A 16,393-nucleotide genomic window follows, 5' to 3' on the forward strand; every position below is an offset into this window, starting at 1 on the left:
GATATAGGACTAATCAGTAGTTCTCAGTCAGGGGCCATTTTGCCTCTCCTCTCTCCACCAGGGGACATTTGATAATGTCTGCAGACATTTTTGGGTGTCATGATTGGGAGGTAGATGTTCTCTACTAGCATCTGGAGGGTAGAGGCCAGTGACACTGCTAAACATCCTACAATGCATGGGGGCACCCCCCATGATTGACCCTAAAAAGGATTATCCAGTCTAAAATGTTAACTGTGCCCAGGTTGAGAAACCCTAGACTGAACTCATGATCCATCTTCAGTTTGTCACATGGATTTTCTCCAAAGGCTTGCATTTGTATTTTATCACTTACAAATTAGCTATACATGCAAAATATTGCTTTCTTTCATATGTAGTGATATAAGCAGAAGTGTCAATTTTCCTCCATTTTACAGTTGAGGAAACTGAAGCTCCAAAGGATTATAAGACTTTCCAGATATCTATGTTGTGCCTCCTCATCTCAGCAGCCTTTCTACTAAACAAAGAATAACTATTTTGTTTGCAAAATAGAAGCTTTGTAGATGTTCTCAAAAATAATAGACTAAATTGGTTTCTCATCTTGTATAACAGGTATATTTCTATAATTCAACCTTTTCAGACATTTTACTAGTAGGTTCCACAAAGAAAAGAGAGCCCCTGGAAGTTCTACACGGATGCTCTTTTAGGTTCCCAGTGTCATCAAAGTCCATCCCAAACTCTGCTGCCCTAAGAGGTACAGCAGAGTTAATCCTGGTATACATTAGGCATTAGACATGTTTATTAGACATACACTGTTTCACGCCCAGCTATACTTTGCTCCTAACTCAAGCTTTGGTCAAAAGAAATATAAGGTTCATGTCAAGACCAAAGCAAGCTACAAAACAGTTTATTCCAAAATTCAGCCTCATGTTGCAAGACCCTAAGCAACACACACTTAGTAGCACCACATGTGTGGTTTTGCCAGCTTAATTGCAAAGTTGACTCAAACATAACACAAAAAATCCTCTATGGGAATGAGAACACCAAGTTTGAAGTCAGATGACCGGAGGAAACATTTTGCAAGAAACTAGAAACCTCCCCATTCCTGGCCAGGCGCAGTGGCTCACGCCTGTAATTCCAGCACTTTGGGAGGCCGAGACAAGCAGATCACAAGGTCAGGAGATCAAGACCATCCTGGCTAACACAGTGAAACCCTGTCTCCACTAAAAATACAAAAAAATTAGCCGGGCATGGTGGTGGGTGCCTGTAGTCCCAGCTACTCCAGAGGCTGAGGCAGGAGAATGGCATGAACCCGGGAGGCAGAGCTTGCAGTGAGCCAAGATTGTGCCACTGCACTCCAGCCTGGGCAACAGAGCAAGACTCCATCTCAAAAAAAAAAAAAAAACGAAAGAAAAGAAAAAAAGAAACATCCCCATTCCTGTGTGTCAAGCCAAAAGGTGGTGAAGCCAAGATGATTTTAGAGAAATACCTCAGAATCTCAGGAGAGATTACTTTTTTCTACCGCATTTGTTCTTTAATAAGACTAATAAGTCTCACCTCCTTAAAAGAAATCATCTTGGAGACTAAGAGATATTGACATCTCCAATCAATGCTCAAGATCATCTTTCCTTTTTCCCATCAGAGAATGAAGGTGCAGCTAAAATTTTTCAAGATTCTCTCAGAGATCATACATTTCAATCTACACTTAAAGCTGACTAAATATACTTAAGAGCATACTTTAAACACCATGCTGTTTCCTTGATGGACCATATGAGCATACATAAATGGATCGTTGCTCTGACAGGGAAACTAACATTGACCATACAAATAACTTAGCCATTCGGTGGAGAGCAGCACAAGGGTCTAAAACTTTGCAACTCAAAGTGTGGGCGGTGGCCTTGGCATCATACAGGAGCTTGTTAGGAATGCAGAATTCCAGTCCCACCCCAGACCTCTATTAACATTTTAATAAGATCCTCAGGGGATTTTCAGCACTTTTAAGTCAGAGAAGCACCACGTCTAGACTCAACAACCTTTTCTAAAATCCAAGTACCATTTTGTGTCTTAGAAGTAAATGAATTTGTTTGTGAGTCCTCTTCCTTTAGTAAATGTATAATTAAGGACATTTCTGAAACAGAATTGTTATCCATATCATTTTAGAGATGTTATGCTTCTTAACAGGGCCATTTATAATAGGCAGCTACCACTAACAATTTCCAAAATTGGAAGAGGTGAGCAGAGAGAAGCAAAGGAAGAGAAAGCCATTACTGTAAAGCAGAGCAGTTTTACCAGTTGTACTCTTTACTGTTTTTTGTTTGTTTGTTTGTTTTTGTTTTGTTTTGGTGGGGGGTATAGGATCTTACTCCGTTATCCAGGCTGGAGTGCAGTGGCATGACCTCAGCTGCAACCTCCAACTCCCGGGTTCAAGTGATCTTCCTACCTTAGCCTCCCGAGTAGCTGGGACAACAGGCAAATTCACCACATCCAGCTAATTTTTGTATTTTTCTGTAGGGTTGAAGTTTTACCATGTTGGCCAGGCTGGTCTTGAACTCTTAAACTCAAACAATCTGCCTACCTTAGCCTCCCAAAGTGCTGGGATTACAGGCATGAGCCACTGCGCTCAGCCTCTTTACTCTTATTTACTGGTTTTCTACATACAAAATTTTAGACAAAGGATTCATCATTTCTATGTACTTTACTTAATCTGTGGGGGTTTAGGCAAGTGAGTCCACTCAGGCAGCCAAAACTAGACTCAAAGAACACCATTGTTTCCACCAGTGAGCACAGGTGGTACAGTTCCCACTCTTCTCTAATCTAAACAACTGCTAGATTGCAGATACCTGGGGGACCAAGGGCCTCAGCTGCTCTTCACCTCTGGGAAAAAAAGCTACGTATCTTCTGCCTAAGACTTTTTTATCCTCTCCTGATATTCATGCCATTATTGAGATTCAAGAAAGATAAGTCAGACCCACCTGGAATCTCCGCATGTCACGTGGGTTTCCCGCATTCTTTAGGCAATTTTGGTTACATTTGAGGAAAAATTTCAAGAAGAACCTGTGAAGAAACAAATCATCATGGTTAGCATTTCGGTTTCTGACACGGGAGGGAAAAAAGAGGTAAGTCACCCCTGGGTTGTGCATTCGATTCTCTTTACATGTTTTCTGAAATATTCAGCATGGTGTTAGAGCCAATATTTCATTTGTGGCTTTAGCCTTTGTTTTGTTTCCACGCTGGACCTTCCTTATGACACAAACACTGTTGGCACTGCCAACAGATCTCACAGAAGAATTAAGCCCCAAGGAAGTATTTTCACTCATACAGAGGGAAAGCTTTCATCATAATTTAAGTTAGGTTCCAATTGGATATAATTGTCTGAGAATTACTCATGGTCCCCAACGACAACATGCAGTTTAAGCCCTATAAACTCACAGATGATGAACTGGCAAATACATGCTGGATGAATACAAGGATTTGGTAACCACTTTTTATCTTAGCCTCTCAAGTAAAATGTTTTAATTAGTACTACCCATGAGAAATAAGTAAAATTCACAAACTAACTAAACTCCTTTGACTTCTCAAATACCTCCTGTTTTTTTTTTTTTTTTTTTTTTTTTTTGTTTTTTTTTTTTTTTTGAGACGGAGTCTCGCTCTGTCGCCCAGGCTGGAGTGCAGTGGCGGGATCTCGGCTCACTGCAAGCTCCGCCTCCCGGGTTCACGCCATTCTCCTGCCTCAGCCTCCCAAGTAGCTGGGACTACAGGCGCCCGCCACTACGCCCGGCTAATTTTTTGTATTTTTAGTAGAGACGGGGTTTCACCGTTTTAGCCGGGATGGTCTCGATCTCCTGACCTCGTGATCCGCCCGCCTCGGCCTCCCAAAGTGCTGGGATTACAGGCGTGAGCCACCGCGCCAGGCCCTCCTGTTTTTCTTAAACTGTCTGCTGTAGACAAGAGCTAGCTGTGATTGAATAAAGATTTTCCTGCCTCACTGCCACCTTGGTTTCTGAATTGGTTCTGTAGTGAGATTCATGGGTTTTACTTGCTAAGGTGACCAAAGGTCCCAATTTGCCAAGAAAAATCCCAGTTTATACCAGCTGTACTGGTGTATATATTAATAGTACCTACTTTAACTCTCAAAAATGTCTTGGTATGGGTGATAAATTATATGGTCACCCTATAACTTTCTGAGTTATTTCTTATGTAACCATCACAGTTGTTAAAGTCTATCATGGAAAAGCAGCAGCTACTAAAAGTGTCATATTGGGGCATTCATGTCTACCACCTGTAATTAAACCTTCTACCTGCCCAGGTTTGGGAAAAGAAGTATTTCCAAAGATACCTAAGTTTTGCAATCTCTTTTACTACTAGGCCTAGATGTGATGTGCCTGTGGATTTCAGGCCGAAATGTTTCCTAAAAATATCAAAATGCATTAAAATGCTGGTCAACTGAATTCTTGTTGTAATTCAATTCTCTTCCCCTTTCTTCCACTTCAAGTCCACACTGGAGTAAAATCCCCATCTCAACACAAATAGATTATGAAGAACTATCACCCTATGATGCCTCAGTCTGAATTTGGCTCTGACTGCAATGTCTGTCAATCATGTAACACTGGGATCCTCTATAACAACAGCACTGCACGAAGACATACAGAGTTCAGCCAATTTCTGAATATGAAACTGAGAGAAGTCCCAGATGAATCCCTCTGCTCCTTGGTCTCTTAGAATCTGCCAAGATGGGAGTATGTTGTGGGAATCATTCTTTAGAGACAAACAATGGCCTTTTCAACCAAAAGAGTAACATTTAAAAATGCAAACATCGTCCTAAAATGACTGTTTAACACCACACAACATTTGACTGCCCATCAATGAAAGCAGGCCTCTAAATAATCACTTGCCGCTACTTCCAGATTCTCTCCACAGAAGCCAAAGTTGATCAACCTTTCGTCCAAGACAAATGGCTTACAGAACACCACTGAAGCCCAGCTGTGTGAAACAAAATCTGATTTTGAGCTCTCCTTTTCCGGTACCAAGACCCACACTGTCCTTGCACAGGACAATCAGCCAGTCATTGACTCTTGCCCACTTTCAATATGACAGATTTGGTAAAGGAAGGGGGGTTAAGGGAGTGGCCCAAATCCTAAGTGCCTTTGCACTGTCTTGTTGGTCTGAGCTCCCAGAAGGCAAGTGCTGGGTAGCCCTGCTGATCACACATGGCTTTCAGAAACCATTTAATACAGTGGAGCTGACTGTTGTGATCCTTGAATCTTGCTAGGGTTCAATCCTATATCCATAGACACTGAAGACATGAAAACTGGCTGCTGCTTTCAAGAACAGTCAGTTAGAAGGGCATATTTCAAAGCTACTTCAAGCCCCAGGAGAGGGCTGATTATCACTAAACTGACAACAAGAGTGGGTGTGATATGGTGAAAGGCCACAGCCATTAGAAACACCCAGAATAATGAGATTCATATCCTGACTCTGACAGGTACTACCTGTGTGACTTTGGATAAGGAGCTGAACTTCTCTGCACCACACTTTCCTTATCTATAAACTGGTGCAATAACAGGCCTTACTGTATAGGGAAACTGTGAAAATTGCGATAAGGCAGAGTAACAGATACATGGTAGGTATGCTGATGGTGGCAGTCATCATAAGAATGGCTTCCGTGTATTGGGTGCTTACCTTGTGCTCAGTTCACTGCTAAGAACAAATCTGTTTTCTCATACAATCCTCCTAAGTAACCTCTGCTATTAATCCCATTTTATAGATGAGAAAACTGAGATTCAGAGAAGTGAAATAACTTGTCCAAAGCTAGGAAGTGTGAATCTAGAACTCAAATTCAGACAGTGTAGCTCCAGAGACTGTACTCTTAACCACCATGATGTAGTAGTTTTAGTAATGACAGAAGTAGTGCAGTAATGATGTTAATACTAATTGTACTATTGATAGCAATCGTACTGTAACAGCAATTTTGCTAATAAGAGTAAATAAGATTAATCGAACTACTAAGAATAATTATTAGTATCATGATTTCCACAACAGCAACATGAACATTATGGAGGTAGACGTCATTGCCATTCTCCCTTAAGAGGGCCCCCTGCTTGCTTCCCCAGGGTTGGTAATATTTGCTGCCCATGTGTGTTTAAGCCATTTGAGCCCAGACAAGACAGCCAGATTCAGGTTGTGCTAGAAGGAGCTGTCAGCACACCCTCTGGCTTCTTCAAGTCAGACAACTGCTAGCCACCATGAGGGGGTCCATCTGGTGCCAAAATGAATTTTGAAAGACAGGCAAACAGGACACCAGCTATGCCAGGGAGAAACAGAATCAAGGGAGCAGAGGATCTTCTGCCTCAAAGATGAGCTGGGGCAGGGCGCCTGTCAGCAGCCCATCGTTAGCACAAAAGCTATGCCGGGCACACACCAGATCCCTGTTACCCTAAGCTGGCCTGTCACTTGGCATGCTGGCAGAGTCCCCCGCCTGCCCCCTCAACAGTGGATCACTTGCTGAAATTGAAAGCTTGACCATCTGTCGTGGGGAAGACACGGCCATCAACTGGTGCCTGAGGCCTCACACAAGCCCTTATGTGGAAAAGACGCTCTGAAGGGCCAGTTCTTTTGGGGAAAGCCAGCCCTACCCCAGAGGGAGCCTCAGAAATTCTTTCAAAGTTTTCCCCTAAGTAAAAGCCAAGTGCCTGACCCTTTCGGATTACAGTTCCTTAAAGGAACTGAGAGGAGTTAGAAGGAGGAGTTAAAAATATCCCCACTGAGAGACAGACATGGCACACGAATTTGGGGGATGACTTATCAGGCTAAGTTTATAAGGCCTTTGTAAACCGGGGGACATGTGCACGTCTGCTGGCCTACGGAGAAGATCTCAGATTCCGAGGGGGCTTTTAACAAAGCAGAGGTTATTGTAACTCAAAACCTCACTTTTGTCTAATGAATTGCTGCATTTTGTGAGGCGGGTGTGTTTGATAAAGTGTTGTCAGGAGAAAAAGTGTGGCAGCCTTACCCCAACTGTGGGAAACTGACCCACAGCAGGACAAAGCCCCTATTGACCCTGTAGAGTTCCAAGGAGTTCCATAAACTCCAGGAAACAGCCTGACCAGGATCAAACTCCTTTTTAACTCAAGCCTTTTTTTTTTTTTTTTTTGAGGGGGAAGGAAGGAGGTAACGAGAAACTCGACATCTTTCTGTTAACTTTCAGTACAAATAATATCATCTTGTGTTCATGTAATGCGTTAATTATTCAGAGCACTTATATTCCCAATATCTCACTAAATCCTCACGGAATTTCTATAAATTAGGTGCACCAGGAATTATCAAAGCCATTTGAAAGGCAAGAAAAACAAAGACAACAAAATTAAGGGATTTATCTACAGTCAACAACCAATCTCGTAAATTGACCGAAAGGACTAGTCATGGTATGTGTTTTCCATGAACTCTAGGATTTTATAAGTGATCTTAATCATCACTTAGTCTAACCTCCTCATTTTGCCTATGAGAAAAATTAGGCATCAGAAGACATGACAATATTCACATAGTTAGTAATGAATATCAGAGCTGGAACTATAATCCATATGTCCTGATGTCTAGTTATATAATTTTCCCAACATAATATTAGCTTCTCAAGCCAATCCTGTAAGAGCTGAATGCCTGCGCTCTTAAACTGTTTAGTCTACTACCTCAAATGGGAAAGTGACAGTCATAAAACCAAAAGGTGACATCCTATTAAAAGTTTTATTTGGGTTCATCAATCAGGCCAGTGTAGGACATTAGCCCATCACGGAACTAACTGAACCCAATACAAACATTTGTAGAACAAAATTGCTTGTTCAATGACATACCTGTATCACCTTTTACCAACCAACAGATATTAGTATCTAGTTTGAGTAGCTTTCATGTGACCAGCACGGTACTCAAGACCAAAAGGCACTTCTGGACTCCCCCAAAAGGAAAATTAATTCAATTAGTCAGCAGGATCTGACTCACCTACATAAGGATATAAAATTTTTAAAAAATCATCCCTGCATGCATAGTGCCCGGCGTAAGACCTAGAACCCAGTGGTTTTTCAGTAAATACTTGCTCAACTAAATGGAGTCTAGGGTCTGCAAGGGATAGAAATAAGGGTGTTTTTACAGTAAAGACAGCAGTAGAATATACTGGGCAAGAGCTTGCATTGGAGCTAAGAGAAGCCTGAGTGAATTTCAACAATTCCTGAACCTCAGTGGCCTCATTAAAACATGAGAATAATAGTACCTCTCTCCTAGGATCACTGTGCAGCTTTCACCGTAATTTTAGCTTTACTCCTTAATTAATTGGGTGACTTTAGATAAATTATTTAACCTCTCTGTGCCTCAATTTTCTCATCTGTAAGATGGGAGGAACATCGGAACCTACTTTAAAGAGTTAAGAGAATTAAATGAGTTAACATATGTGGAGTGTTGAAATAGTACCTGCCATAGAGGAAGTGATAATTATTTTCTTCATCATTTATCCCTGGCAACTGCTCACTGCCTAGCACTCAGAGATGTTGAGATTTTCAGATACAAAAAGTATTCTTCACTCTTTAAATGTTAAGGTCAAGAAAAGAAGCAAAGACCTATGTACCCAATGAGAACTATAGGTTTCATTGAATGACCTACAAAAAGAAAAAAAAAAAAAAGAAGAAGAAATAACCACCAAAGAAAGATAATAATGACTACAGCAGCTTTACCCAAAGGCTAAGACACATAAAGGAAAGGGGTAGTGCCTTAAATCGTGGAGAACTCCAGCCAGTCAGAACTGAAGGGCACACACAGTAAAACTGCCCATTAGGCAACAGCTTGTACATCATTAATTATTATGTAAAGCATTGCAATCAATCTGGGCTGAGCAGGTTGAGTTTTTACCTCCCCCAACCCAAATTCTGAAAAATCACGTTTGGATTTTTGCAGCTGCTCTCATAATGTCCATGCTAGACAGGAAATGCATCAAGGCACACCTAAACTGAGACACAAAACCTACATTTGCAATCTTAAGGCTCCTCGAAAGTTCCTCTTGACTTATGCCTGCAGATGGTTATGTGGCAGATGATCCTTCCCGCAGATATTCAGGACACGGAGACTTGCTCTGGCCCAATGCAGGAAACAGCTGTGTGGAAACAACTGTGGGTTCCCTTCTGTGTGAAGTTCAAGCTGCTCCCACCCCACACACACTGGAGGGTAAACAGCAAAATGCCTCATGATTAAAAGGACCTCTTTGGAAAAGTTGTTTCCATAGACGGCACCATCACCTTTGCTTTGAAAAAGAAATGCAGAACCTCCTGCCTCCATGTCCAAGCCTACTGCCCAGAAATAGCCAAGGAAGTCTTTCTAAGAGTCTAAGGATTATCTCCCAAATTGAAAATATTGAACCAAAAAGCACCTATCCCTACCCAGCCCACCTGAGCTGCCAGGGGCTTTATCCGAAGGTCATCACTACCTCCTGGTAGCCTTCAAAGACACAGAGCTCTGAGAAGAGGTAAACAAGAGTCTCAAGGCCCTGAAAAATGGATCTCCCTTGCAACAGAGCAGGCCAAAACAGTGAGAAGGAGAAAACTCTATTTTCAATGTCAAAGAAAGCGTTTTGGTTCCTAGCACACAGAAGTAGTTGTAGAGTACAGTTCATCCATGTGAAAATCTGATACCCATAAGGCTGCCAAAATCCCAGGATGCCACAAGGGCAGGCTGAGGAGGCTGAACCCATGTAAGGGTAAAGGTTGCTCACTGCCGGGCTGACTTCCTCTCCTTTTCTGATATTAACATGCATTCCTGAGAGAGACCCTCTTTGACTTAAGCACCAATCATTCTGTTTGAGAGGTGGGGTGGGCAGAAAGGGGAGGAATAAGATCCTGGAGGGAATTCTGCACAGATGAAGCAAATTCTCTCCTCTCTCCCTGCAGTGGAGGGTGGAATGGTACCGAGTTGTGGCACTATCTTGGGGATCCCAGGGGGAGAGCATGTGGCTGCCCCTATTCTTGGCCACTGATTTCAAGAAGTTTACCTTTTCCACTGGCCAAGGTCCTTTAGATCTTGGGCATTTCTGGAAAGTGTTCTCAGCCTGAAGGGATGAACATGATCAACCTGAAAAGCATTCATTACCTCAGAGCTCAGAGTATGCCCTTGAGGGAAGGGCATCATTAGTGGCAAGAATTTAAAAAAACAAAATGGTTTTGTCATAGCACAGCAGCCAATGAAAGAATTTAAAAATAGTTTTAAGGAAAAGGACGCACTCCACGTAGGTCTCCTCATACTAGAAGTCAAATCTGAAAGGCAGGAAAAAGTCTTGAGACAGTGAATAGGTAGAGGACAGGACAACTAACCAGTTGCCAATGGGGAAAGAAAAAATTACAATTTCTTAGAAATGACACAGAGAAGGGAGGTTAGAGCAAGGGGGCTGTAGCTTAACACTGACTTCTGGCTATCTGGCCCAACTTACTCCCCTAGCAATGTCTGACTGGAAATTTAAGAGAGAAAGAATTCTAAGTTCATGTGTGGTAGAGAAGATGTTTATCCTCACGGATGTTCTTTTACACAGATTACTCAAATGCCAAGTGTTTCTTGCCAAAACATATTAAGGTGCAAACTCTGGCCCTGGGCGAATATTTGAAGTCATCCTAATGATTTGAAATGTGGCAGAAATGAGGCAGATCACAAAACCAAGTGTCCGTCTGTCCTTCTTGGAACTGGGGACAGACTGAGGACACATTTGTTTTAAACTGTTTCCATTACAAGGAACCAAATTTCTACTGGGAATCATGGCCACAGAGTTCCTGCAGACCAAGGGACAGGTTTTGAGCAAAGGTATCAGGACTTGCACTTCTGGATTACTGGTGTAAATCTTTCCCCAGGCTGAAAAGGATGCACAGGCAGGTGGCAACTTTGCTTCAGTAACAGCGACCCACCCCACAAAGCCAAGCATAAAAAATGAGGCAGAAGGAGCCTCAGCTCCTCAACTTAGCAGTTACTACAGCAAACACAAGCACTGCACCATGTGTAAGGCCGTGTCCTGAGTGCTTTGCATGTATCAGTTTACTCTGTACAACAGTCCTATGAGATTCTACTTCTTTTCTCATTTTACAGATAATGCTACCAAGAGGTAAGGTAATTTGCCCAAGGTTTCCCATCTAGTAACAAGTGGAGCTGAGATTTGAACATAGGCAGTTTGACTCCAAAGCCCACATCCATTAAACTATATTCTTTACATGTTATATATATATCGTGGGATCATTGACCATTCTGGTTATATTCTTATTATCATCACCAGATTCATTCAAAATTACAACTGAAGCCAGCATAATCATTTCACTAGAAATGCCAACACTTTCACTAGATTATAGCCAATTATAAATTTTAATATTTTTTGAGTTTGCTCCCAACCACTCTCACCCTATTTGTGATCCCTCAAATGCATTTTAACCATAATGAAAGACCAGTGGGTGATCTGGTAACAGAACCAACCCAAATATGGAGAACAGTGGCCAAAACAAAACCAATGTAATCTGGGTCTCTTGGGAAGTGTCAATGAACATCACCATAAGGATTAAATTATACTATATGTAATTATGATAGTCACCAGTCACTACTTTTGTGTGTGTTTCATGCAGACAGAAAGCCAGGGGTTGAAAATGAAAGGCTGTTAATATCTCCTTGTTCAGTACATATGTGTTTAGCATTTTAAAGCAGATTCATTTAGAATCTCACGTTAGAATTTCACTTTTCCCTTCTAAGGACTCAGAGGGTTTCGATATTAACTTCCCCTGTGGAGGTGACAGATGTCAGAGAGAGATCAAGAAGTTCAAGTCCACAGTAACTGAGGCATACAGTTCTGCCTGGATGCTCAACTTATGATTCAAGACTTCAAAAAGTACAAATGTTCGTTGTCACACATTCATTCACTTACTCAACCAACAGACCTTTCCAGAGAGTCCAATATGTAGTGATGCTTCTCATTCAATACCAATTTTACTAAGAGCACCATGATTTTGGTTCAAGTTTTTCTCCAAAAGAAAAGTAAAAAAGAAGACAACTCTTTACATTCAAATTCCCAGGAAAACTTTTGACTCTTAGGATGATAGAGTATTCAAGTAATTGCCAAGGAAGATTGAATACTTTTAAAATATTAATCAGTTGTGGCTGTTCTGGCAGGGGCTAGATCAGTGAATCTTTCAAAGTCCCTAATAATGCCAATAATATGCTCTCCTACTCTTCACTTTTCAGCATTCTTTGCTAAGTCACACCAAGCTACATCCTGTGCCCTGAACATGAAATCTCCTTCCTGCCTTCACCATAGGCTGCCTCCCTGGATCTGAAATGCCTCCCTCACTCCCACACCATCTCAGCTTCCCATCATCCCACTTATCCCTCCAGGTGCGGTATAAATGTACTGAGCTCATGAAACCTTCCCAGATACCCAGAGCTAGAATTAATCCCTGCCACCTACACTCTGTTACAGCACTTGTCACACTTGGTCTTCACTGCAAGGCCTGCAGTTGCTTGTATAATGGTCTGCCCCTGCAAGACACCACGGACTTCTGATAGTGCCTTTCCATTCCTGACAGCTCCTTGCACAGCTGTACATGCAAAGCACTGAATACACAGCTGACTTAAACTACCTGCAAATATTAATGGCAGTTAGCTTTGAATTATAGCACAAAGATTATTTCTTTCTTCTATATTTTCTGACTTTTCTATGAATAGGCACTACTTTAATGAAATAACAAACAACTGCATTGTAAAACTTCAAGTGAATATCATTCAGCACAGAACCTAGGGATGTTGGCCCCATTCTACAAGGAATAAATTAGGAACTAAAGATTACGAGTGGCTTTCTCAAAGTTTCTATGCTCTAAGATTTACCATTTAACTCAAATGTGAACAGTTAAGAGCTATCCATCTCACACTCTGTAAAATGTACATCATTTATTAGTTTCATATTGCATAATTCATACATGAGTATCAACTGGGAAGGCTCCACACCATTGGTGTCCTTAACTTCCTACTTAATATTTTAAACTTTGATGTTGAGAAATTTTTATCTCCAAGTTAAACCTGCCATTGTTTTCCCATCATTCAAGTGTAACCCAAAGGAATAAAAGGCCATATAACTAAAGTCTGTTTAGTTTCTTCTCCAAAATTCTACAGACCATTCTGTTGACTTTTGTTGAAACCCTTAGTTAAAACTCTTAATGATTTACTATTTCTTCATTCAGCCTATTTTCTTAGGTTATCTATTTATTCATTCAGTCTGTCCTTATTCAATAAGTATTTACTAAGCACCTACTTTGCACCAAACAGAAGGCATACAACAGACAACCCAGTCCCTTCCCTTGTGAAAGTTCATTGAAGTACAGTTCTCATGCTGTCTTCATCAGAATTACCTCAGAAACTTGTCCTGGCAGAGAGAAAGTAGGAACTGTATGAAAATTTCTGTACGTACTCTTTCCTGTGGGATGAGTCCACTTGGACCAGAGGGGCATTTGAAGAATTTTGATGCACACTAAAGCTTGAGAATTGATAGCTAGTTGATTCTTAAAATTAATAATACCATACTATGTGATAAGTGAAATGATGGAGCTATATACCAGAAATTGTGAATTGCCTGGGCATCTCATCATGTGCAATTGAAATTCAGCATAAAAACTTAAGTAGGGCCAGGTGTGGTGACTCACGCCTGTAATCTCAGCACTTTGGGAGGCCGAGGCGTGTGGATTGCTTGAGGTCAAGAGTTTGAGACCAGCCTGACCAACATGGTGAAACCCTGTCTCCACTAAAAATTTAAAAATTAGCCAGGCATGGTGGCGGGCACCTGAAATCCCAGCTATTCTGGAGGCTGAGGCAAGAGAATCACTTGAACCTGGGAGGCAGAAGTTGCAGTGAGCTGAGATGGTGCCAGCCTGGGTGACAGAGCGAGACTCCATCTCAAAAAAACAAGTCAAAACACTGCTGAGTAGAAATAAAAATAAAATTTCCCCACCCATCCTCTCTTATCCCAGCACAAGCTGCAGGGAAAGAAAAAGGTTCCTAGCCAGACATGATGGCTCATGCCCATAATCCCAGCAATTTGGGAGGCAGGCGGATCACCTGAGGTCAAGAGTTTGAGACCAGCCTGGCCAACATGGTGAAACCTCGTCTCTACCAAAAATACAAAAATTAGCCAGGCGTGGTGGTGCACACCTGTAATTTCAGCTACTCAGGAGACTGAGGCAGGAGAATCACTTGAACCTAGGAGGTAGAAGTTGCAATGAGCTGAGACTGGGTGACAGAGTGAGACGCTGTCAAGAAAGGGAAGAAGGAAAGGGAAGGGAAGGGGAATGGGAGGGGGAGGGGGAGGGGAGGGGAAAGGGAAGGGAAGAAAGAAAAGGAAGAAGGGAAGGAGAGGGAAGGGGAGAAGGGAAGGAGAGAAGGGAAGGGGAGGAAAGAAGAGGGGGGAGAAGGGAAGGGGAGGGGGGAGAAAGGAGGGGAGGGGAGAGGGGAGGAGAGAGGGGAGGGAAAAAGGGAAGGGGAGGGAAAAAGGGAAGGGGAGGGGAGAAGGGAAGGGAAGGAAAGGGCAGGGAAGAAAGGAAGGGAAGGAAAGGGAAGGGGAGGGGAGGAAGGGAAGGGAAGTAGGGAGGAGAAGTAAAGGGAAGGAAAGGGTAGAAGGGAAGGAAAGAAAGGAAGGGAAGAGAAAGGAAGGGAAGGGAAGAAAATGGAAGGTAAGGGAAGAGAAAGGAAGGGAAGGAAAGGGAAGGAGGGAAGGGAAGGGAATAGAAAGGAAGGGACGGGAAGGGAAGAAGGGAAAAGGAGAAGAGGGGAGGTGAAGGGTGTGGAGGGGTGGGGAGGGGAGGCAGGGGGGAGGAGAGGGGAAGGGAAGGGTAGGGGAGGGGCAGGGGAAGGGGAGGGGAAGGCAGGGAAGGGTGGGGAGGAGGGGGAGAAGGGAGGGAAGGGGAGGGGAAGGGTGGAGAGGGGAGGGGAGGGAAAGGGTGGGGAGGGGAGGAGAGGGGAGGAGAGGGGAGGAGAGGGGAGGGAGGGGAGGGAAGGGGTTCTTGTTTGCGTTAGAAAGCTGATATTTGGAAACTTTATGCTTCAAGGAAAATAAATAAACTCACTTTTCAACCAAAAAAAAAAGTACATATAGACAAAAGGGATCAGCTGAAAAAGCTATTCCCCAAGGTGTGGGGGGTGGGGGACACAGAATCTTGCTAAGGATGAAAAGTATTTTGAAACTATTTTAAATAATCATTACCCTTTTAATATTCACCGCATCTGTCTGTTCACTTTTCCCATCATACCCTCCCTTGTCCCAGTCTCAGCATCTTCATGTGTTGCCTGTCATCCCCCGGCCTCACACATCATTGGGGATAATGAATTTAATTTGAGCAATGGATTTCATTGAAAAAAAATCTCTGCATCCCAACATGCCACACAAGCTGAGCTCAGATAAAAACAAGTGACTCCTTAATTTGGATTTAAACCTCAGGACCAGTCTACAAATAAAAATGACCAGCGAGCATCATGCCCACAGAGCACTGACAATAATCTCCTGTGCTCCAAATTATTCTAGTCTATATTATAGACGATCCAATAAGCCTGTGTGTTCTAGTCCATAAAAATATAAGAAGAAATTTATCATTTTGAAATCATAATGCAAAATAGAGTCTGACACTTTATTAAGCACTATTTCTCATGATATCATAAGGATGCTGATGGAAAATGAAACTAAAGCAGTATCAGAGACGAACAATGACAGCATTTAGACTTTCTGAGGGTGCTTTGTAGCTCACAGGTCACTCGCTTGCCCTCCCCGCATGTCACTTTTGAACAGCTTCAGTTTAAACCTGAAACACTGAAAACATAATTCTGAAAAAAGCTTTCATTTTATCACAAAATTGGTTGATCATTTACAAAAAAATGCTGGAATGGGATAAGAAATGATCTAATCCAGATATTCTTAACCTGCAGTCAGTGGGTGGTCTACATGGCATCCGTGATCACCCCAACATTGTATGCAAACTTTTGTATACTTGTTTTCCTGTGGAATGGGTCCAGAGGCTTCAGAGGACAGGAGTCTGAATTGACTGCCAGAATCCTTTTTATTCTGTTTTGATAACAGTCTGCTATTCTCTTTTTTAGAGAACAACTTCGCCCTCACTCAAGAGTCTTTACATTTCAGCAGCATAAACTCATTCCACACTTGGACCAAAGAGGCACTTGTGATTTAGGCCTGGCCAGTCAGAGTATCATAACCCCCAACTATATATCTGCTTTAGAGACTGGCATGTGACCCAAGTCAAGCCAATCAGGCTCTATCTGAGCTAGTCTCAGGATTTTTGTTTGGGCGGCTTTAAAAAAAGAGATGGAATTTCCATTTATGAGAGTTGAACCCAAAAAGATGTGCAGCTGGGGTTGCTGGAAAATTCAA

The 16,393-nt window shown here is 42.3% G+C and overlaps 1 protein-coding gene across 28 annotated transcripts in view; it reads right to left on the reverse strand.

The window, feature by feature from the left end:
• Window positions 1–16,393, reverse strand: part of EBF1 (EBF transcription factor 1) — a 403,997-nt gene that overhangs the window by 141,161 nt on the left and 246,443 nt on the right. For all 28 annotated transcript variants that reach the window (NM_182708.3, NM_001324108.2, NM_001324106.2 and 25 more), the window contains one exon: window positions 2,949–3,030. In NM_182708.3, the coding sequence (NP_874367.1) occupies window positions 2,949–3,030 (82 nt within the window). The remainder of the gene's footprint in view (window positions 1–2,948; window positions 3,031–16,393) is intronic.

Source organism: Homo sapiens, chromosome 5 (assembly GCF_000001405.40).
Source record: "Homo sapiens chromosome 5, GRCh38.p14 Primary Assembly".
Lineage (NCBI taxonomy): Eukaryota > Metazoa > Chordata > Mammalia > Primates > Hominidae > Homo > Homo sapiens.